We start from the raw sequence: 22625 nt of genomic DNA, 5'->3' as shown, positions 1-22625 counted from the left end.
GTCAGGCCCCTGCATTGCTCAAACTTCTCCCTCCCTAACCCCCGAAGCTTGGTGACTACTTGTTCAGGCTTCAGAAATCAGGTCACATGTTACATTTTCCAGAAAGGCTTCCTGACTCGCACTGTAGCCTGCCAGAAGAACCAGCCACTCCCTCCCCTATATTCCTCAAGTCACCTGTAGGCTTTTATTACCCAGAATACTCTAGAGCACTCTGTTGCATACATTGCTCAACTGTGTGCCTTGTCCCTCTGAAACCATGAGCTCTGAGGACAGGGACAGTGTCTTATTCTTCTTGGGAGCCCCAGTGCCTGACACAGGATCTGGAGAATGCTTATTCACTAATAAGAGTTTATTGAGGCCAGGCATGGTAGCTCACACCTGTAATCCCAGCACTTTGGGAGACTGAGGTTGGAGGATTGCTTCAGCCCCAGAGTTTGAGATCACCCCGGGCAACATAGTGAGTCTCTGTCTCTATGAAAAATTTGCTGGGCATGGTGGCACGCCTGTAGTCCTAGCTACTTGAGAGGTTGAGGCAGGAGAATCACTTGAGTCCAGAAGTTTGAGACTACCGTAAGCTATGATCATGCCACTTCACTGCAGCCTGGGCAAAAAAGCAAGACCCCATCTCTTAAAAAATAATAATAAATAAATAATTGTTTTTAAAAAAGAGTTTATTGAACAAAAAAATGAACAATACTGCACATGCAAATGCTGATATGTCACTCTTCATTTTTTTAATTGTGGTAAAAAGTACACATAACATAAAATTTACTATCTCAACCACTTTTGAGTGTACAATTCAGTAGTGTTAAGTACATTCACTTTTTTTTTTTTTTTTGAGACAGAGTCTCACTCGGTTGCCCAGGCTGGAGTGCAGTGGTGCAATCTCAGCTCACTGCAAACTCCACCTCCTGGGTTCAAGCAATTCTCTGCCTCAGCCTCCCGAGTAGCTGGGATTACAGGCGTGTGACACCATGCCTGGCTAATTTTTGTGTTTTTAGTAGAGACGAGGTTTCGCCATGTTGGTCTCAAACTCCTGACCTCAGGTGATCCACCTGCCTCAGCCTCCCAAAGTGCTGGGATTACAGGCGTGAGCCACCGCGCCCAGCCACATTCACATTATTATGCAACCATCACCATCATCTGTCTACAGAACTCTCCCCATTTTAGAAAACCCAGACTCTCCATCTATCTACAGAACTCCACCTCCTTCTTAGGAAACAAAAACTCTACCCATTAAACAGTAACTCCCTATTCTCTTATCCTAGCCTCTGGCAACCACCATTCTACATTTTTTTTCAGTTTAATTTAATTTTTTGTAGAGAGAGGTTCTCACTATGCTGCCCAGGCTGGCCTCAAACTCTCAGCCTCAAGCAATCCTCCTGCCTTGGCCTTTCAAAGTGCTGAGATTATAGGCATGAGCCACTGCACTAGGCCCACCATTCTACTTTCTGTCTCTATGAAATTAACTACTCTAGGTATCTCATATAAGTAGAATCTTACAATAGCTCTTCTTTTGTGTCTCGCTTATTTCATTTAGCATAACGTCCTCAAGGTTTAGCCATGTTGTAGCATTTGTCAGGATTTCCTTCTTTTCAAGGCTGGATAACATTCCACTGTCTGTATATTCCACATTTGTTTATCCATCATCTATTGATAGACACTTGGGTTGCTTCCTCCTTTTGGCTATTGTGAAGAATGCTGCTGTGAACATGGGGTCACAAGTATCTGACTGAGTCCCTGCTTTCATCTCCTTTGGGTATATACCCAGAGGTGGAATTGCTGGATCACATGGAAATTCCATCTTGAATTTTTTGAGGCACCACCATATTGTTTTCCACAGCTGCCACGCCATTTTACATTCCCACCAGCAGGGCACAAGGGCTCTAATTTCTCCACATCCTGGCTAACACTTTTTATTTTCTATTAGGAGGCTTCTCTTATACTGACCCATGAAAAAAGGCAAGAGCACAACCGTGGTAGGCAGAACAATGCCCCTCTCCCCAAGCAGACTCACAACCGTATCCCTCAAACCTCTGAATATGTTACCCTACATGGCAAGAGGGACATTGCAGATATGATTGTATTAAGGATCTTGAGATGGGAACATTATACGAGAATACCTGCGTGGGCCTACTGTAATCACAAAGGTCCTTAGAAGATGGGGGCAGGAGGATCAGGGAGAGAAAGATAAAAACAAAAACAGGCCAGAGTGATGTGATTGCTGGAAGGGGCCATGAGCCATGGAATTCGGGCAACTCCTAGAAGCTGGGACAGGTGAGGAAACGAATTCTCCTGAGAGCCTCTATAAGGCGGGCAGTCTGCACACCTTGACTTTAGCCTTGCGAGACCCACTTCAGCTTTCTGACCTCCAGAACTGTGAGGTAATAGAACTGTGTTGTTTTAAGCTGCCAAGTTTGTGGTAATTGCTTACAGCAGCTCTTGGTACCTAATAGAACCACCTAATCGAAAAACAGACAAAATATGTGATCAGGCATTTAACTGAAAAGGAAAGAGATGGGCCGGTAAACAGATGAAGAGATGGTCAACAGCACCAGCTGTCTTAGTCAGCTCTGGCTGCCCTAACAAAATACCATAGGCTGTGGGGCTTATACTGCAGTCATTTATTTTCTCACAGTCCTGGAGGCTGGAAGTTGCAGGGAAACAATTCGGGTTCCTGCAAGGGACCTGCGTTCTTGGCTTGTACACAGCCGTCTTCATGCTGTGTTCTCACATGGCCCTTTTGGTGGATTGGGTGGCACAAACTCTCCATGGTCTTCTTACAAGGGCACTAATCCCACACTCAGGACTTCAACTAAATCTAATTACCTCCCAAAGTTCCCATCTCCAAATATCTTCACCCTGGGGATTAAGACTTTAATATACAAATTTTGGGGGACATAATTCAGTCCGTAGCATTTCACCCCAGTGACTCCCCCAAAATTCGTGACCTTAAAGCATACAAAATACATTTATTCCATCCCAACATAACCAAAAGTCTTAACTCATTCCAGCAACAACCCTAAAGTCTAAAGTCCAAAGTCTGATCTGAATGTTATCTAAATCAGATACGGGTGAGACTCAAGGTATGATTTATCCCAAGAAAACATTCCTCTCCAGCTATGAACCTGTGAAGCCAGACAAGTAAGCACTGTATTATGTGCTTACAAAATACATTGGTGGGACAGGCATAGGATAAACACTCCCATTTCAAAAAGGAGAAATAAAAAAGAAGGAAGGAGTGACAAGTTCCAAGTAAGCAAAAACCCAGCCTATGGTATTTATGTAAATGAAGGCCCAAATTGGATTCCATTTTAGTTGGCCAGGTAATCAGAAAAAATTAATAAGCTTATCAATAAAAGCATTGGAGGGGAGCAGAGGATATGGATGAGGGGAATCCAGTGCTACAGGGGAGGGGAAGTAATTTGCTGTAGCCACTTTGGAAAATAATCCAGCATTAATCTTAAAGTTAAATAATTCCACTCCTAGGACTATACCAGGTGTAGGAGGAGAATGTGTAAGAATATTTGTAGGCCAGGCGTGGTGGCTTATGCCTGTAATCCTAGCACTTTGGGAGGCCAAGGCAAGCGGAGCACGAGGTCAAGAGATCGAGACCATCCTGGCCAACATGGTGAAACCCTGTCTCTACTAAAAATACAAAAATTAGCCAGGTGTGGTGGCGCGTGCCTGTAGTCCCGGCTACTCCAGAGGCCGAGGCAGGAGAATGGCTTGAACCCAGGAGGTGAAGGTTGCAGTTAGCCAAGATTGCACCACTGCACTCCAGCCTGGGTGACAGAGCGAGACTCCGTCTCAAAAAAAAAGAATATTTACAGCAGCGCCCTTCACAATAGCAAAAACCTTCAACTTGAATGGCCATCTAGAGGCGAGTGGAGAAATAAATCAAGATACAAAGGACACAGAATGAATGAACTCCAGTGACAGGCAGCAATGAGGATGATTCTTACCAATACAATAGTACATGGGGAAAAAAAGTCTCTTCAAAAAAAAAAAAATACTGCAGGATGTATTTTTATCAAGTTAGAGACAACCAAAATAGAAATAGACACCCTTTAGGGACAAATATAAGTAAAATACAATGGCTTAAAAATGTGGAAACAGAGGAAATGTGGGGTGGGGGTAGGATAAAGCAAGGCAGGGTATGATTTGAAGTTAAAATGTGGACACAGGTACATGTAGTTTCAATAGACTAGTCTCTAGTTTTGTGTATTTTTGAAATTTTCCATTATAAAAAAGAAAGTTTAAAATAATATGAAGAGAAAAGGAAGGAATGATGAACATCAGATTCAGGATGCAGATATTGACATGGGGGGAGGCAGAGCAATGGGATGGCAGAGAACCCTATGAGTCAGTCACTTCTTGTCAAGGACCTGGCTTGGTTCTGTTTTGTTTTGCATGGTGAGTTCATGGACACCTCTTATGTAACAGATTAAATAACCAAATTAAAGTAAGCCATGCATGGAGCAATGAAGAAATAATTAGAGAATAGAGGGGAAAAGCACGAAGGCAGCTCACCCACAGTTCTCAGTGGCACTCAGTGGATGGGTCCCAAGATGCGTCCTTCTGGTGTTCTGTTTGCAAGAAGAGAGCTTATACCTCATGGAGACCTGGATGCCAGTTCTCCTGCCCTCCACTGGCTCTCTCTCCTGCAAAGGACATTTCTCTCGTCAGTGTTTCTGAACATCTGACAGTATGCTGTCTGCCAAAGGCCTGGGCGAGGTATCCTATGGCTTCTAGGTTCCTGATTAAAAGCCGGGCTGGATGTTTGGGATGTCACACAGGCGTTTTCTTGTACTGTCTAGTTTTTGGATGAAAATGTAGGGGTTTGCATTCATCCCTGGCATACGTCATTATTTAGGAACTCTGAAACATTTTACCTGGTCACCAAAAGAAGTCACCAGGGTTGGGGCCAAGCGCAGTGGCTCACACCTGTAATCCCAGCACTTGGAGAGGCCGAGGCAGGTGGATCATCTAAGGTCATGAGTTCGAGACCAGCCATGGCCAGCATGGCGAAACCCCATCTCTACTAAAAATACAAAAATTAGCCAGGTGTGGTGGCAAACGCCTGTAATCCCAGCTAATCAGGACGCTAAGGCATGAGAATCGGTTGAACCTGGGAAATGGAGGTTGCAGGGAGCTGAGATCGTGCCACTGTACTCCAGCCTGGGTGACAGAGGGATACTCTGTCTCAAAAAAAAAAAAAGAAAGAAAGAAAGAAAAAGAAATAAAAGAAGTCACCAGGTTTGGAAGAGCTGCCAAAAGAGAAGTGGGCTAACCTGGGCACCCTAGAAAAGGGGTGGGGTGTGTCTTCTTTGAGAAGAAAATAAACTTATTAAAAAAAAAGTTATGGCCGGGCGCGGCGGCTCAAGCCTGTAATCCCAGCACTTTGGGAGGCCGAGGCAGGCGGATCACAAGGTCAGGAGATCGAGACCATCCTGGCTAACACGGTGAAACCCTGTCTCTACTAAAAAAAAATACAAAAAATTAGCCAGGTGTGGTGGCGGGCGCCTGTAGTCCCAACTACTCGGGAGGCTGAGGCCGGAGAATGGCGTGAACCCAGGAGGCAGAGCTTGCAGTGAGCCGAGATTGCGCCACTGCACTCCAGCCTGGGCGACAGTGAGACTCTGTCTCAAAAAAAAAAAAAAAAAGTTATCCAATTATACATAGTGCTATAGTTTAGATGTTTGTTCCCAAAAACCTCATGCCAAAATGTATCCCCAGTTTGGGGGGTGGGGCCTAAGGGGAGGTGTTTGGGTCATGGGGACAGATGCCTCATGAATAGAACAATTCCCTGGGGTGGTTGGGGGTGAATGAGTTCTCGCTCCATTAGTCGCTGCCAGAACTGGTTGTTGAAAAGAGCTCCTCTGTCTCTCTCACCTCCTCTCTTGCCATGTGATCTGCATACACCAGGTCCCTCTCACCATCTGCCATGAGTGGAAGCACCCTGAGGCCCTCACCAGATGCCTAGTCTTGAACTTTTCCAGACATCAGAATCATGAGCCAAATAAACCTTTTTTCTTTATAAGTTACCCAGTCTCAGCTGTTCCTTAAACCAACACAAAACAGACTAAGACACTTGGTAAATCATGGTAAGGAATACTTTATTCAGGACCATTGCAATAGGCGTAGGGACCATTGCAATAGGCGTAGGGACCACTGCAACAGGGTCTTGCAGTAGGGTGAGAGATTGGGCTCAACTCTGAATACAGCTGGTGCAAGTGGGAGTTTATAGCCAAGGAGCAGGGTGGGGGTCAGTGGACGGGAAATTACTAAGAGGAAACATCAGAGGTAAGGGGGATTCTGGCTAAACGCACCTAACAGGATTCTTGCTGAAGACAGGCCAGGGTAAACCAGGTGTCACCTGCGGGATGGTGGAGGCTGAGGAACCTGATCCGATATTAAGGGTGAGGGGATTCTTGCTAAACTGACTTAGCACGGTTCTTAGCTAAACTGGATTTTACATGGAAGTGCACAGATGGGCCTAGGAAAAGGCTCAGGAGCCTGACTAAAGTTTGGTCAAGCAGAGAACCTTTGTCAACTAATGGACAGGGATCTCTTTGTTGTGTGAGTGTGTGTGTGTGTGCGTGTGAGTGTGTGAGAGAGAGTGACTGTGTGTGTGTGAGTGTGTGTGTATGTATTTGGTGTCCCCTCACAGTCAGTACTTTCAATGACACCCTAAATTCCTCTGAGTCTAAAAATGGTTCTGTCCTCTTGGAAATCTTAATGAGACCTCAGGAGAGAAAAACTCTCATTTACCTCCTCCCCACATCCCAGCTCTTCTGGCTCTCCTCAAAGCGTGGTCCTCAACCTGACCAGCAGCATCTGCATCCCTGGAAACTCCTGGGAAATGCACATGCCCTGCCCTGCTGAATCAGACACTCTGGTGCTCAGCAGTCTGCGCCTTTACAAGCCCTCCAGGGGATTCCGATGCATGCTCAAGTTTGAGCACCACCTAAACCAGTGGTGCATTGTACCCGTCCCTGGATTCCTTCTTGCTTCATCACCTTTCCAGACAATATTTCACAGGTCATGGTGTCCAGGACCTGCTATCACCCATCTTTCCCCATCCCTCCATCACAAATGAATGCCCTAGGAAACCTCAGCAGGGAATCAACCTCATCCCCTATTTCTTGAGATGTCAGGAGCAGTCAGAGCAAACCTCATAGCCGCAGGATGCCACTCTGAGCTCCTGTCTCCTGCCTCTGCAGAAGCTTCCCAGCTGTGGTCCCTTGACCAGCTCTCTCCACACGCCCATGCCCTGCTTTTCTCCCCTGCATTTTAGCAGGTAGTTTTGATGGCATTGAAAAAAAGAAAGTAAGACTGTAAGGCCAAAACTCCTCCAATTTCTCTTCCATCTGCAAACTTGTTTGCATCTCTCCTCCTCCTTTTCTTTTTTTTCTTTCTTTCTTTTTTTTTTTTTGAGACGGAGTCTCACTCTGTCGCCCAGGCTGGAGTGCAGTGGCGCGATCTTGGCTCACTGCAAGCTCCGCCTCCCGGGTTCACTCCATTCTCCTGCCTCAGCATCCCGAGTAGCTGGGACAAAAGGCGCCCGCCACCATGCCCGGCTAATTTCTTTTGTGGTTTTTTTTTTTTTTTTTTTTTTAAGTAGAGACGGGATTTTACCGTCTTAGCCAGGATGGTCTCGATCTCCTGACCTCGTGATCTGCCTGCCTCTGCCTCCCAAAGTGCTGTGATTAAAGGCATGAACCACCACGCCCGGCCTCCTCCTCCTTTTCTGAATCAGTGCGAGTCTACCTGGCGCACATCAGTGGCTCATCCCTCCAGCTGTACCAGGTCATCTCCCCACATGGGCCCAGGGGACTCAGGCCTCACCTGTGCTTCCTCCCTTCCCAGGTTCTCTTCTTATGTTTAAAAACAAACAGCAACTATGTGACAACGTTTTCAAACACATTATTTTTAGAGACAGGGTCTCACTCTGTCACCCAGGCTGGAGTGCAATGGTGGGATCATAGTTCACTGCAACCTTGAATTCCCAGGCTCATGAAATCCTCCAGCTTTAGCCTCCCAAGTAGGTGAGACTACAAGTGCGTGCCACCACACCCAGGAAATTTGTCTTTTTATTTTTTGTAGAGACAGGATCTTGCTATGTTGCCCAGGCTGGTCTTGAACTCCTGGGCTCAAGTGATCCTCCTGCCTTGGCCTCCCAAAGTGCTGGGATTACAGGTGTGAGCCACTATGCCTGGTCCAAATTTTCAAAAAATATAAACTGAGAATCTATATTCTCTAACATAGTGCAGACATAGTTTTGAATTCCAGCTCTCCAATGACTATCAAGGAGGCATTGGTCAAATTATTTACTTTTTCTATATTCCAGCTTCTTCTGCTGTAAAAAGAGGTATCATAACAACTTTTGTATGATTATTAAGAAAAGGGTTAAATATTACAAGTGTAAGTTTTTTTGTGTGTGCTTTTTGTTTGTTTGTTTTTGAGACAGACTCTCACTCTGTCACCCAGGCTGGAGTGTAGTGGCGCCATTTTGGCTCACTGCAACCTCCACCTCCCGGGATCAAGTGATTCTCCTGCCTCAGCCTCCTGAGTAGCCGGGACTACAGGCACGCGCTACCATGACCAGCTAATTTTTGTATTTTTAGTAGAGATGGGGTTTCACCGTGTTAGACAGGATGGTCTTGATCTCCTGACCTCGTGATCAACCCACCTTGGCCTCCCAAAGTGCTGGGATTACAGACCTGAGCCACCACGCCTGGCCCAAATACAAATTTTTTGAGGGGGCAGGGGACAGAATTTCGCTCTTGTTGCCCAGGCTAGAATGCAGTGGGGCAATCTCGCTCACTGCAGTCTCCACCTTCCGGTTTCAAGCAATTCTCCTGCCTCAGCCTCCTGAGTAGCTGGGATTATAGGCGCGCGCTACCACGCCCGACTAATTTTTGTAATTTTAGAAGACATGGGGTTTCACCATGTTGGCCATGCAGGTCTCGATCTCTTGACCTCGTGATCAGCCTGCCTGGGCCTCCCAAAGTGCTGGGATTACAGGTGTGAGCCACCGCGCCCGGCCCAAATACAAAATTTTTAATCAAAGTGATAAGAGCTTGACATGTCGAATAAAAATATTTACAGCTTGATCCATATGTTAGATTTTTTTATTTAAACATTTATATAATATGAATGATCTTTAAATTTCATTAGGCATCTTATGGTTCAAATCCTTACAACATGATCAGAAACTGAAGTGGATGTTCCAAGTAAAGTCACGATGAGAATTTTTTAATTCCAGATTTGATGGTGAGAAAAGTCCAATGTTTCTATATTACAGAAATTACTTGCTTATAAGAGAATTATTCTTGAGAGGATAAATTCCATGATTATCTCTTGAATAAGGTGATCTCCCTTGTTAAAAACCTAAAAACAACAGCAACATCAACAGCCTTCTCTGCCCTGTACCCCTCTGGTTATTGTCCTATTCCCAATTGAGTTTCTTGACAGAACAAGCTACAATCACGCTCTCAACTTCTTTACCTGCCTTCTGGTTGCTCTCTCATTCCCTGGAAACTGATTTCCTGAAGATCATCAATCAGTAGCTTCCATGTCAACAAATCCAATGGGCATTTTAGCTCTCTGTTTCATTCCATCCCTTTCATTGAGCACCTGCCCTATACTGAGTTCCTGGCATGAAGCTAAGCCATTGGAGGTGGCCATGGAGTTGCTTCATTCAGCAAGTATTTATGGGGCTCTTCCAGTGCGCCTGGTGCTGTGCTGTGTCGGCACTGATGGACAACGGCTCCCACTAATAACAATCTGGCCTTGAGAGACTTATAGCCATTACTGTAGAGTCTGGTGCACACAATGAGACTCAAAGAACACATGAGAGGGACTCCTGACTTTAGCTGGTGAGAGCCAAGGGAATCCTAGAAGCCATCCCTGAGGAGGAAACACGAGTTTAGTCTAAAGGTCAAGGAGGGATTAACCAATGAGGGGATGAAGAAGGATGCCCCGAGCAGAAGCGCAGCAAACAAACAGGAGAAGCACAGTACAGGATGTGCTTTCCTATTCACAGAGCCTTATAGTCACATAAGGGGACGTGGGGGCACTGGGGGAGGCTTCCTGAGGGAGGTGATATCTACAACGAGCCTTAAGGGATGGCCAGGTATCTATTAAGGAGGTGAAGGACACCCTAGGAAGATAATGCCACATGTACAAAGGCACAAAATGTGGTGTCTTGGGAGAGTGGTAGGGAATGTGGAATGATGACTGATGTCAAGGACATGAGGACATGGTAGCACCTCGGGATATCAATGCCATCGTATGCAGTTTAGACTGAAAGTGACAGAAATCACTGAAGGGGAGAGGGAGACAGAGATTCTCTTCTACAATGATCACTCCAACTGTTTTGTGGAAGATGCATCAGAGGAGGCAAGGCTGGAGGTGGGGAGACAAGTTAGAAAGAAAGTTAGGGTGAAAATGACAGATCCTCAACCAAGGCAGTGGCTGTAGGAAGGGAAAGTATTTTAAACGTAGGACCGGCAGGGCATGGTGGCTCACGCCTGTAAGCCCAGCACTTTGGGCAGCCGAGGTGGGCGGATTACGAGGTCAAGAGATCGAGACTGTCCTGGCCAACATGGTGAAACCCTGTCTTTACTTAAAAATACAAAAATTAGCTGGGCGTGGTAGCATGTGCCTGTAGTCCCAGCTACTAGGGAGGCTGAGGCAGGAGAATCGCTTGATCTCGGGAGATGGAGGTTGCAGTGAGCCGAAATGGCACCACTGCACTCCAGCCTGGGTGACAGAGCAAGATTCCATCTCAAAAAAAAAAAAAGGAGGATCAAGGCCAGGGACAGTGGCTTATGCCTACAATTCCAACACTTTGGGAGGCTGAGGCTGGTGAACCTCGTGAGCTTAGGAGCTCGAGACCAGCCTGGGCAACATAGTGGAACCCCGTCTATACAAAAAATACAAAAATTAGCCAGTCATGGTGATGCATGCCTATAGTCCCAGCAGTTACGGAGGCTGAGGTCGGAAGATCACCTGAGCCTGGGAGGTCAAGGCTGCAGTGAGCCATGATCACGTCACTGCATTCCAGCCTCAGTGACGGGAGTGAGACCTTGTCTAAAAAAAAAATGTAGGACCTTAACAATGCTAGCAGACCTAAGCGTGAATCTCAACACTGCCCTTTACTACCTGTGTGACCTTGGCCAAGTCATTTAACCTCTCTAAGCTTCCATTTCCTCACCTGGGAAATCAGGACAATAACAAAGCCTACCTCGCAGCTGTGGAAAGGATGAATTGCCTAATATATGCAAAGAACACACCCCAAGACCGAGCACACAGGAAATGCGCAGCAAATGAGAGCTCCCATCCTTGGCATCATTAACTATCCTTGGTTAACAAGATGCAGGTTAAACAAAGAGTGCACAATGACTCCCGGGTTTCTGGCCTGCTGTTACTAAAAGCGGAGACAGGAGTGGGTAGATTGGGAGGGAGGCCTGGAAGAGGATGCGCTCATTTGTCGAGCATGAAGTGCTCACTATTGGAAGAGATGATCCTCCGTGGGTCCCTTGCACTCTCACACATCTTGCTGTGTATGCCAAGATTGCAAGACCCTGACCATTTTTAACCTGGGCCACTTCTCAGTGCTGTGTTTACAGCGAGCCGCCTTGAGGGATGAGGTACCATCTCCCTGGAGGAGGAAGAGCAGGCTTGCTTACTCCTCCCTGCATAAGCAGCTCCAGGCTCGGTGTTCCTCAGCTATGACGCTAACCAGCTGCCTGTGGAACATCCATCTGGGCCCCCCATATTGCCCCTGTGAGACTTGGAGGCAAATATGCTGATGCACATGCTTCTTGCTGTGCTCTGAGTAACAAAGTCCTATGTTTCTGACCACAGAGTGTCATGTCTTCTTTTAGCATCCATGAATCAATGACAGGTTAATTTATTAGCTTATAAGTTGGAAAGAGTCATCAGCGTGTACATGGCAAGTAAAGCCATGATTACAAATAATATTGCCCAGCAGAGCATGTTGGTAATGTGCCTGTAGTGCCAGAAACGCGGGTGGCTGAAACAGGAGTGTCCTTGAGCCCAGGAGTTCAAGGCTGCAGTGAGCTATGATTGCACCACTGCACTCCAGCCTGGGTGACCCTGTCTCAAATAAGTTTATTTGAGACTCTGTCTCAAATAAATGAATAAATAAATAGCATTGCCTAGGAAGAGATACGGGGTAGTACCCTGCATAAAGGCAACAAGTAAAGAATGAGGGTAAGAAAAGGAGCTCCCAGGAGAACTCAAGAAAGAAACCTAGAGGAGAGTAGTTCCTTGCAAGCCAAGGGAGTAGAGTTTCAATCAAAAGAGTAGGCAACAGGATCAGATGCTGCTTAAAAGTCAAGTAAGATGAAGACTGAATGTGGCCACTGAGTGTAGCAACTAGGTCACTTCTTTAGCTGTTGCTAAAGGCTAAAGGCAAGAGGCATTTTAGTGACATGGTGTGGCCAGAAGCCAAGCTGAAGTGGGTGAGGAACGAATGGAGGTAAAGAAAGAATGACAATAGGCTGGGCGTGGTGACTGATACCTGTAATTCCAGCACTTTGGGGGGCCAAGGCCTGAGGATTGCTTGAGGCCAGGAGTTCAAGACCAGCCTGGGCAACATGGTAAAACCGTCTCTACAAAAAAAAATTACAAAAATTAGCTAGGCATGGTGGCGTGCACCTGTGATCCTGGCTACTTGGGAGGCTGAAGTGGGAAGCTAGCTTGAGCCCAGGAGATCAAGTTTGCAGTGAACCGTGATGGTGCCACTGCACTTCAGCCTGGGCTACAGGGTGAGACCCTGTCTCAAAAAAAAAGAAGGGAGGGAGGAAGACAGAGAGAGAAAAGGAAAGAAGGGAGGAAGGAAGGAAGGAGGGAGGGAAGGGAGGGAGGGAGGGAGGGAAACTAAAAATCTTAGCTGAAAAGAAAGGATAAAGTTGGGGCACTGGTGACTGAAGCAGGCAGATGCAAATGAAATTTTTCAATAGATGGAAGAGAGGTGAGTAGAGCATATCTTGAGGAGAACAAGCCAGAAAACAGGAAAAGTCAGGGTAAAAAAATCAAGAGCAAGGGGAGGAGGATAGAATCAGGTCTCTGAAAAAGAGGAGAGGGCTAACATTCAGATCCCAAGTGAGGGGCTGGTCTGGCCCCTCTCCCATTGAAATGGCATTTGCCCCAACCACACACCCTCAAGCAGGCCAACAGGCTATCTAGGTTGTGTGGTCTGTCTCCAGGTGGGTAGAGCTCACTGTCTGTAGGGAGGGGCCTGGTCAATAGGTGTCCTTGGTGGCCACTTTGTCTGGTGGTCCTGCAGACCAGAGATGAGAGACACATAAGTATTTTTCAAGCTGGGTTCTCTGGAGATGCCAGCAGGTGTGTGCTCCTATGCAAAGGGTTCAGGTAAGTTTGGAAAGTGCTGTCCAAGCCCTGCAAAGCCAGCTTGTAGGAAGACTGAGTGTTCTCTGCTGGCAGAGATGGACATTTGGGAGTGGGGTGGCCAAAGGGAAGAGAATGCCTGCAGGAGAGATGCCAGGACTCATACTCAAGGTACTCAGGGATAACGGAGAAGACACCTATGGAAAACCCTGTGATCACAGAGCAGGAAGAGGAACTCATTTGCAGAACATCTCTACTCTGCTTGAAGTTTATATATTGACAAAGATTCTTTGCTTGGCCAAACTTTAGTCAGGCTCCCAAACCTTCTCCTAGACCCTCTTTGCACTTCCATGTAAAATCCAGTTTTAGCAAAGACCCTGTTAAGACAGTTTAGCAAGAACCCTCCATCTTGTATATCTGATCATCTTCAATATCTGATTAGGTTTATCATCCCCCACCCTCCCCCAGGTGATCTCTGGTCACCTGGCCTGTCTAAAGCAAGAATTCTGTTAGGTTGGTGTTGTGAGTGCCACAAAGTCAGAAATAATCAGGTTCATGCACATGTGTGTCTTTCTACAACGTCAGGCTTTTATTGATGCTATTTCAGTCATAAAAGCCACAAGCCACATGGGGTTCTCAAGGAGGCAAATTCTCCTTAGTTTTCCCCATTCACTTGGTAATAAGAGCTGTGGGCATACAGGCTCAAGTCACTCCACAAGTCAGTCAATACTGCCAACCATACATGGTAGTATACTTAATCAATATATAAATGTTATAGATTACACATTCCACATCAAAGTACATTTAACATCAAGAGAAAAGGGGATAGGGAAGGAGCGGTTAACAATATAGTCCAAGGAGAGTGACTTGGACAAGGGGAGTCTCCTGGCCTGATCCAAACAGTCCTCAGTGTCTTGCAAGGAAGAGTCTTTGATGTGGGCAGAGTGTGGGCAAGATGGGGTCTATCCAGACGGTCATCTCCAGTTGCTGAAGTCCTGCTCTTTTTATGGCTACAGAATCCTCTGGTGAGGACTGATAGCAAAGAGTGTGCCTGTTTATGTCTTTATCTGGTGGGGTGTAGTCTTTATTGATTAGGCGAACATCTGGTTCCTGTTGGCATGAGGCTTTTTCAAATGTAAAATGGACCCTTTTTCTAAGATGGAGTTACTTATGTCAAGGGTGCTCCATACAACCTGTTTAGCCAGAATCCCCCTCAGCCCTGATGTTTCCCTTATTAAGTTTCTATCCGCTGACCCCCACCCTGCTCCTTAGCAACGAATTCCCACTTGCCCATGCTGTAATTGGAGTTGAGCTCAATCTCTCTCTCCCTGCAACTGCAAAATCTCATAGCAGAGGTCCCTACACCTATGGTAATGGTCCTGAATAAAGTCTTCCTTACGATGCTTTAACTCATGTCATTAAATAATTTTTTCCTTTAGCAGTGTCCACCGAGTTTACTCTCCCAATTCTTGGCAGTGTTATTATCCTAGCCTGACAGGAAGAATCAGGACTCAAGAAGCTGAAGACTCGCCTGATACTCAGTGCTCACTAAGTAGTGGGGCTCAGCTCCCTGTGATTTGGGATCCAGCCTCCTGCCCCTACAGCCCACGTGCCCTTACACCCTCAAGCAACACCCAGAGCTGGGGTCAGAGGCGAGCTTGCACAATTGCTTCTGCCCTGCGCTGGGACCAGGGCGGCCTGTGGTCTGCAACAGAGAAGCTCCCCCACCTGCCTTCGCCTTCACTCTGGCAAGCCCTGGCAACACCATGAGATCCCAGGGCTCTGGTCCCTTACAGACTGGGCCTGGCAGAGGCACGGGGAGGAAGGTGGGCCAGCAGGGTGTACCGCTGGGCCTACTCGCAGACGTGCGTTTGCTTTGTTGTACCAGGACTACCCCAGGGACCCTTCTCCAGGGCTGTGAGAGTGAGAACAAGAGAACACAGGAGTTCACACCTCTCCGGTCCAGATGCTTTGAGAGCATGATGGAAGCAACAGGCCCTCTCCATAGAAGGGCACGCACACAACCCATAAGCTCGCACAGTTTCCAGGTTTACGCACCAACCACACCACTACAGCGCCCTGCAAGCAGGCCAGGTCTCAAAGGAGCGTGCATGGGAATCACCCAACATGCTGGCTAAAAAGGCGGATCCCAGGCCCCACCGAGGAGATTATCATTCAGTAGGTCTCGGTGGAGGCCTTAGAGCCTGCGTTTTTAACCAGCGCCTCCGACGATTTGGGCGCTGAGGCTCAGCGGAACCCACCTTGAGAAACCCGACTCTGGGCCTAAGAGAGCCCCCCAACACACACACCCCCATGCTCCAAACTTTCCCCATCTCGCCCGACGCACCGGGCGCGCGGTGGTGGAAGCGTCGGGGAGCCCGGTGGGGACCGAGAGCGACGGCCCATGGGGCCTGCCTGTTCCCCTCGCCCCCGCGCCACGGCCCCGGGAAGCGCAGCACTGCCGCCCGCAGGAGGCGCGACTGCCGAGAGGACGCAGGCAGGGGGCGCCTGGTGGTGGTCCCCAGCCCGGAGCCGCGGGGCGGGAAGGAGCGGGAGCCCGAGAAGAGGGAGGCGCGCGACGCCGCGGAGCTCCGGCGCGGAGGCGGGGGGCGGGGCGGGCCGAGCCGGGCCGGGGCGGGGCCGGCGGGCGGGCCGGCGGCGAGCGCCCGGGGAGCGCGCCCGGGTAGCCAAGAGGGAGGAGCGCGGGGAGCGCCGACAGCCGCCCGCCCGCCCGCCCCCGCGACGCCCGCGCGCAACAGTTCCCCCAAAGTTGCAGCCCGGGAGGCGAGCGCGCACGGGCGGCCGAGGGGCGGGCGGTTGGCGGGGACGCGGCCTCGCGGCCCAGAGCGGAGAGTCCCGGCGGGCGGCGGCGGCATGGGCACCCGGCAGACCAAGGGCAGCCTGGCGGAGAGAGCCAGCCCCGGCGCCGCGCCGGGCCCCCGACGCGAACGGCCGGACTTCTGGGCGTCGCTGCTGCTGCGCGCCGGGGACAAGGCGGGGCGCGCGGGCGCGGGGATGCCCCCCTACCACCGGCGAGTCGGCATGGTCCAGGAGCTGCTGCGGATGGTGCGCCAGGGCCGGCGGGAGGAGGCGGGGACGCTGCTGCAGCACCTGCGCCAGGTGAGCGCGGGGAGGGGGCGCGGGGGGCGCGCCGGGCCAGGGGGCGTGCTGGGCCGGGGGGGGCGCCCCATCCCTAACCGAGGAAGCCGGGGGCACCGAGGGGCACCGCCCAGGGGCCCCTTCCGCGGGGATGGAGCCCTGTCTGGCAGCAGGTGCCTCGGCGCTTCCGCTGAATGTGGGGCCTCAGGGCAGGGCGGAGGAAGGCTGGCCGGGTGAGGCCCGCCGAAGGGGACCTGTTGGCATAATGTCCCCACTGCTCTCCTCCGCAGGCAGAGAAGGAGGCTGGTCTCCGGGGACAGTCGGTGGGCGGGGAAGCAGGGATGCCTGCCTGATCTGGGCCAGGGCTCTTTTCTTCCTGTCTGCCCACTGGCAGTCACTCCCGGCCGAGGGTCCTCAAGGAATGCGGTTATCAGTTGGACCTGGCTTGGCTTCCCGAGAGCGAGTCCAGGGGCACAGCCCTGGGGCCAATGAGATTCCAGTCCCTAGGTCCTTCACTCGCCTGGGAGGCATCCTGGATTGTAGTTCAAGGAGGAGACTGTTTCCTCTCCCCTGACTAACTTCAGCAGATCCTCAACCATGAGCCCCTGCGGAAAGCGGTAGAGACAGGGGAGCTGGATTTGGTGCCCTGTGTGACCACCTGGCCAGCAGCAACTTCAGGAGACTGCCAGGACTCTGTCCTTAGCCTGTGCCTGTCCCACTGGCTAGGGACAGATGTTGCGGAATTGGCCAGTTCCCTCTGCTTTGGGGCTGCCCTGAGGCTAATGCTATCACTCACCTCTCTGTGGCTTGTTTTCCTTTGTCAGTTTCTTTGGTGGGGAGAGGAGCATGGCCCATGCCATGGATTTTGTTGAGTATAAGACAGGCAGGGGAGTGCAAAGCTGCTCTCCTGCATCACCAAGCAGGTTGTCTTGGCCTGGCTTTGGTGGGTAGACAATCCAGGCCCCATATTCTTGCTAGACTGACCCCATTAGAGGTGGAGTCTACCGTGGATGGCAGAGGGAAAATCTCAGGTGACCTTTCTGGGGTTTTCCAGTCGCTGCTGAAAGAGGCTGTAGGAGCACCTTCTTGGGAGGAGCTTCCAAAATCTAATCAGACCCACATCCCTCTTGGGTTCTGCAGCACTCTTCCCCACCTTTGTATCTGGTGCGCTCTTACCCTAAAGTATGTGTCCCCAAGCTGTGCACTGCACAGGGAGAGGCAAGCAGAGACGAGGGGACTTGGGAAGATGTGGGACTTCTGCTTCTGCCTCTGTTTTCCCCAACAACTTCCAGAATGATGCCCGAGACGCTGCTGGATCCCCATGTGCCTTCTCTGAGTTCAGTCATCAAAGAAAGATGACATTATGCACCACTGAACTTTAGCAGTGTGTATTTCTTTGTCTTTTGAAAATTGGAAGCTGACATATGGCCTTTATAGTAACTCTTTCACTTTTAAACAGAATATTGGGTTTTCCAGACCATGGTATCCTATTTACACACCATACAGTAAGGTTTTCCTGATCACATGCTGTTTCCCCCACCCTGCAATGGGTGCTTTGGGGGATACAGAAGAACAGAGGGAGCTGGCAAGCACTTCTTGGAGGGTGCAAGACCAGAGCGAAGCTTGCATGATGGAGGGCCGCTTGGAGGCCCACGGGAGGAGACTGGACCCAAAGTGGGCAGATACTTTGGGCTCCCCAGTCCCTGTAGGGCTGAGTGTGATTCCACATCCTGGGGACACTGAGCTTCTCCCTGCCTTGAGGGAGAGTAGATAAGCCCCTGCAGCCCCACTGTGGGATCCTTGAAACAAGAAGCATTTCCTCAGACATCTGCACATGGGTCTTATTGGTGTCCTGGTACCCGCCTCAGCTGCAGGACTGGGAGGGCTGATGGGGGGGTGGGAGGGGGCTTATCAGACTTCCCCCTTTTCTGTGAAAGCAGCAGGTCCTCAGGCTCTGGGCTTCTGGGCTCCTGTTGGGCTCCCTTAACCCCTGGCTGGGGATGCAAGGGCCGTGGGCCTGGAGCTGCCCTGTGTGGCCTGGAACGGATGGAGCAGGACCCCTCCCGAAAGTGGTCATGGGCCTTGAGCAGTGTGGGAGTGGAGCACAGGAGTGTTCACTTGCCTATGACAGAGAGGTGGCTTTCTAGGACCCTGAGGCCATTTGGAGGAATGTCCAGCTGGATTTGTGCTGTGCACTGAAGTGGCTCTTTCTCCAAAATTGCATTTTCCTTTCCATTCCAGTTTCCTTCTCTAGTCTGGTGGTGGTGATGTTCAGAAAGGGAATGAGCAGCTAGTGAGAGCCTTGAGAACACACAAGCCTCACAGGGGTCAGACCAGCAAGAACCTCTTCCTCAGCAAGACAGCCAGTAAAGACAGGGGTCTGCAAAGCGTGGGGCACCCTGTTCTGCAGGAATGTCATGCAGGCCTCTGGGGTGGGAGTCAATGAGCAGGCACAGAACCAGGGAGGGGCAGCAGCGAGGACAGTAGCCCTCACCTCCATTCACACAGCATGTTCTCCTGCATTTGATAACTTGGGTTTGGCTGCTGGATTTGTGTATGCCCAGAGCCATATGGCTGGTGGGGACTCGGGAGCCTTTGTTCCTGTGCTTCTTAGCCTCTTTGAGTCCTTGATCTTTTTGAGGCTCTGAAAAAGCTACACACAATCTTCCCAGGCAAATGCACTGACTCACGCAATCTCACAGGCAATTTCGGAGGGTTCACAAAGCCCCTGAAACCCAGCTACAGACTCCAAGCTCAGAATCTCTGCTCCAGTCCAATACCACCCTTCTCCCTGCTGTGACTTGCTCCAGGCTGGGGATCTGGAAACAGGGACCTGACCCGGGTGCATGTGTGGCAGTTCACGGTGGGCTGAAGGATTGTGGCTGCTGGTGCCACTTCTTCTGAATGCCCCTCTTCAGCATCTAAGATTTGGAGGGCGTCTCTCCAGCTTGTCACTTGCTGGAGAGGTATCAGGAGGCCTCATTCAGCACAAATGACCCTGAGCTGTGGCCAGGGGTGCAGGCAGGATGCCAGGCAGCTGCCTTGAAGGAACAGAAAGTAATCCCCTTCCCTTTAAGATAAGTGTAATCTGAGAAGAGTCCAGGGCCAAGGATCAAGTAGGCAGCTCGCCTTCCGGTCCTCAGTCAGCTGTGACCTTGGGCCCAGCAGATAACCTCTCTGAGTTGTGTTTCTTTGTTTCCCAAAGAGGGATCTGGGGTACTGAGCACAGCAAATGCTACAAAGTGAATGAAATGGTGTTGGTGCTGCCATTCAAGACACATTCTCTTGGTGACTGTGAAACAGGAGAATCTGCCTTACTCACTTTGGGTCTGGCCCCAGTAGGGGCAGGGTTGTGGCATCCTTTCTCAGGCATGGCCCAAGAATTTTTTGGATTCCATCTACCTGGCCAGGGTTCAGTCTGGATCAAAAACTCACTGCACATTTAGAAGCATCTGGAGCGAATGCTCGTGGAGATAAAACAAGCCAGCTTTGGATGGGAGAGGCCATTCCTCTGCCCTTTCCTGGCCGCCATCCTTCCAGGCTTTCCCCTTCCCCAGATGTCCTTCCCCTTGGGCTCAGGCCTGCTGTCTTTAAGGAGCCCTGGAGAAGAAATAACCTTCCGCCATTGAGAGAGGGCAAGTGCCAGGCCACCTTGAGGGTGAGCTGTCATCTCTTCACCCCAGCAGTTTCCCTGAGTCCTCAAAATTTTAGACTGAGCTGTCGGCCTGCGTCATGGAGCAGCAGAAAAAGGCGTCTGTTTCCCTGGGATACACCCAGCTGAGGTAGCCCCTGTCTTCGTGTTCACCAGCACCCCAGCTTTCCCATGAGAAGAGGCTGATGGGGTTGGTTTACTCGAAGTGTGGCGCACACCTCTTAAGCAGGGCTGTTCCTATGTTAACTTGTTTGGGCCTCCCAGTGGTATGGCTAGGGCCTGGAATCCTGGTTCCTGCTGCTGTCTGGGGTGGTGAGGCTGGCTTCACTCTGCACCTGGGAACAGGAACCACATCAGCTAATGCCAACAAGAACCACTGAGGCCAGGCGAAATGCTCACACCTGTAATCCCAGTACTTTAGGAGGCTGAGGCAGGCAGATGACTTGAGCTCACCAGTTCAAGACCAGCCTGAGCAACATGGCTGTCTCTACAAATGCAAATACAAAAACTAGCCAAGTGTGGTAGTGTGCACCTGTAGTCCCAGCTACTTGGGAGACTGAGGTAGGAGGATGGCTTGAGCTTGGGAAGCAGAGGTTGCAGTGAGCCGAGATCAAGCCTCTGCACTCCAGCCTGGGCCACAGAGCCAGGACCTAAGAGTTTAACTCACCCCTCAAGTGGAGCTGAGCAATGGACAGACACCTGGAGACTCCCTGGAGATGTGGAGACTGGACAGGTCGTTACTACCTAGAAGCAGAAAGATGAGCATAATGACCTCAGAAGGTCACCTTTTTCCTTCCACCTCCACCTAAGAACACTTCTTTAGGCAAGCAGGTTGGAAGGCTACCAGACACCGAGCAGGGGGGCCCTACGCTGGGCCTGCTCTTCTTCCTCCACCTGGAATGCTTTTCATGTTTCCACTGAATGCACCTTACCTTTCCAGGGCCACCTTCCTGGGCATGTCAGCCGAAGCTCAGAGATCCATGTGGCTCTTAGTTCCTGCCACACTGGGAGGCATTCAATCCATGCAGAGTTTTTCCCTGATGTTCCTTTTGTTTGTCAGATAAGGTCAAGTGCTTCCTGAGGGCGGAGACCCACCACCACCACTGTTATCCACTGTATGGTATTGAAAACCTGTAGGCTCGTGGCATACCTTAGTGAGTCTGTGTGCCGTGAAGATGTGCGTACGCGTGTGTGTCTGCTGCTGTCGTCAGTGTGTCCTCAGAAAGCACTTGGATTCCCCAGCTACGGCTGTGCAACTGTGGGCTGATTTACCAGGCTTGTTAGTACTGTCATGAGACACAGCACGTTTGCTTTCCGTGTGGTTGGATTTCTGGGAGTGATGTCCACAGGGCTTGGCTGTTCCTGGCAGCCTGCCAGGCGGTGGTGTTCTTGGAGAGAGGAGTGGCATGGTGCCCAGGCTCTGTGGCACTACGGGATCCCATCCGGCAGGTGCAGTCTGGGGCCTCTGCCGAGGTGGCGGGAGGGGAGCGGAGCCTGATGGGAGAGTCTGGCCTCCACATTCCTGATCGGCTCTTGTGCTGAATCATGTTCATTTCCTTCACAAAGAGAAACCTTCCTTTTTAAAATCCGCCGCTCTCTGCCTGGGCTGGATCGAGGCTTTTCCAGTGATAAAGATGCAGAGGGATTCCTGTGTCAGAGCCTGCTTCATTGGTTTCCAAGGCTGCCAGGGACACTGGCTGGGGAAATAGCAGCCTCTGTAGTGGCTAAGCACGACCGCAGGGGCTGTAGCTGGGCCGGTTATTCTGACTTTAGGGTCTGGTGAGGCTGTGGGATGGGGTTGGGGGGTCCTTTTTTCTGGAACAAATGCCACCTCCTCAGAGATTACCAGAAACTGCTTTGCTGTCTTCAGAGGTCCTAAAGTACCCTGGCCTCCATCCATGGACCGTCAGGGTGGGTGCACCCTCCCCTCCCCCCAGTGTCATTTCATTGCCATGCGTGCTTTTCTGGGGCAGAGGCCATAAAAACTGGCACACAGTCTGTTTTCAGGAAATTCTTACAGAATGGATTGAAACTTCCCATCAGGCACACACTTCCTCCAGCCTCTGTCCCTGGCGTTCTCTCTCAGGAGACAGCGGGGTTTGGCTCAGACTTCTGAAGTGTTTCTACTGTGACCGTGGGCCTGGGTATTCCCCCACCCCGCTGTAACCTGTGGGGTGGAAGCCATGATTCCTCCCTGCATCCCCACTCCCTGTCTGCAGGGGAGAGACTCCTTGAAGAAGGGTTATCCAGTGACCAGGGTCTTCTCCAACTCCTCCATCAGGATGCAGAGGGGGTGGGGTCAGCATTGGAGATTCTCCCCGCAGTGTGGGGATCCTCAGCCAGCCATCTGTCTCCCCTTCCCCACCAAGAGCAGTGCTGCCGGTGCCCTGCAAGAAAACCACGCATGCGCGCCCACGCATACACACACACACACACACACACGAACACACACACACACACACACACACACACACACACACACTGCTTG

General features: G+C 50.4%; 1 protein-coding gene and 1 long non-coding RNA gene across 4 annotated transcripts in view, besides 6 other annotated features; one reads left to right on the top strand and one right to left on the bottom strand.

Moving 5' to 3' along the window:
- Positions 1 to 4541: 4541 nt before the first annotated feature.
- Positions 4542 to 22597, bottom strand: LOC124903936 (uncharacterized). The gene is made up of 3 exons (XR_007065641.1): positions 21070 to 22597; positions 20805 to 20881; positions 4542 to 4664 (listed from the first exon to the last, which is right to left on the bottom strand). It is a non-coding gene; the product is annotated as an uncharacterized LOC124903936 (long non-coding RNA).
- Positions 10120 to 10620: an enhancer, noted in NCBI's record as "H3K27ac hESC enhancer chr17:16400945-16401445 (GRCh37/hg19 assembly coordinates)". NCBI's record gives its function as "activates a minimal SCP1, AML or CMV promoter by ChIP-STARR-seq in naive H9 embryonic stem cells {active_cell/tissue: H9 hESC(naive)}" and the evidence as "EXISTENCE:reporter gene assay evidence [ECO:0000049][PMID:30033119]".
- Positions 15806 to 16145: a silencer, noted in NCBI's record as "silent region_8227". NCBI's record gives its function as "represses an Ori minimal core promoter by ATAC-STARR-seq in GM12878 lymphoblastoid cells {active_cell/tissue: GM12878}" and the evidence as "EXISTENCE:reporter gene assay evidence [ECO:0000049][PMID:35858748]".
- LRRC75A (leucine rich repeat containing 75A) overlaps positions 16058 to 22625 on the top strand; it is a 50617-nt gene continuing 44049 nt past the window's right edge. For all 3 annotated transcript variants that reach the window (NM_207387.4, NM_001113567.3, XM_047435962.1), the window contains exon 1: positions 16058 to 16506. In NM_207387.4, the coding sequence (NP_997270.2) occupies positions 16261 to 16506 (246 nt within the window). In that variant the 5' untranslated portion in view covers positions 16058 to 16260. The remainder of the gene's footprint in view (positions 16507 to 22625) is intronic.
- Positions 16236 to 16285: a silencer, noted in NCBI's record as "silent region_8226". NCBI's record gives its function as "represses an Ori minimal core promoter by ATAC-STARR-seq in GM12878 lymphoblastoid cells {active_cell/tissue: GM12878}" and the evidence as "EXISTENCE:reporter gene assay evidence [ECO:0000049][PMID:35858748]".
- Positions 16396 to 16455: a silencer, noted in NCBI's record as "silent region_8225". NCBI's record gives its function as "represses an Ori minimal core promoter by ATAC-STARR-seq in GM12878 lymphoblastoid cells {active_cell/tissue: GM12878}" and the evidence as "EXISTENCE:reporter gene assay evidence [ECO:0000049][PMID:35858748]".
- Positions 20421 to 21345: an enhancer, noted in NCBI's record as "H3K27ac-H3K4me1 hESC enhancer chr17:16390220-16391144 (GRCh37/hg19 assembly coordinates)". NCBI's record gives its function as "activates a minimal SCP1, AML or CMV promoter by ChIP-STARR-seq in primed H9 embryonic stem cells {active_cell/tissue: H9 hESC(primed)}" and the evidence as "EXISTENCE:reporter gene assay evidence [ECO:0000049][PMID:30033119]".
- Positions 21346 to 22271: an enhancer, noted in NCBI's record as "H3K27ac-H3K4me1 hESC enhancer chr17:16389294-16390219 (GRCh37/hg19 assembly coordinates)". NCBI's record gives its function as "activates a minimal SCP1, AML or CMV promoter by ChIP-STARR-seq in primed H9 embryonic stem cells {active_cell/tissue: H9 hESC(primed)}" and the evidence as "EXISTENCE:reporter gene assay evidence [ECO:0000049][PMID:30033119]".

This window comes from Homo sapiens, chromosome 17, assembly GCF_000001405.40.
Source record: "Homo sapiens chromosome 17, GRCh38.p14 Primary Assembly".
In the NCBI taxonomy this organism is placed as follows: domain Eukaryota; kingdom Metazoa; phylum Chordata; class Mammalia; order Primates; family Hominidae; genus Homo; species Homo sapiens.
Note: the sequence above shows the minus strand (reverse complement) of the source record. Positions and strands in the feature narration are given on the sequence as shown.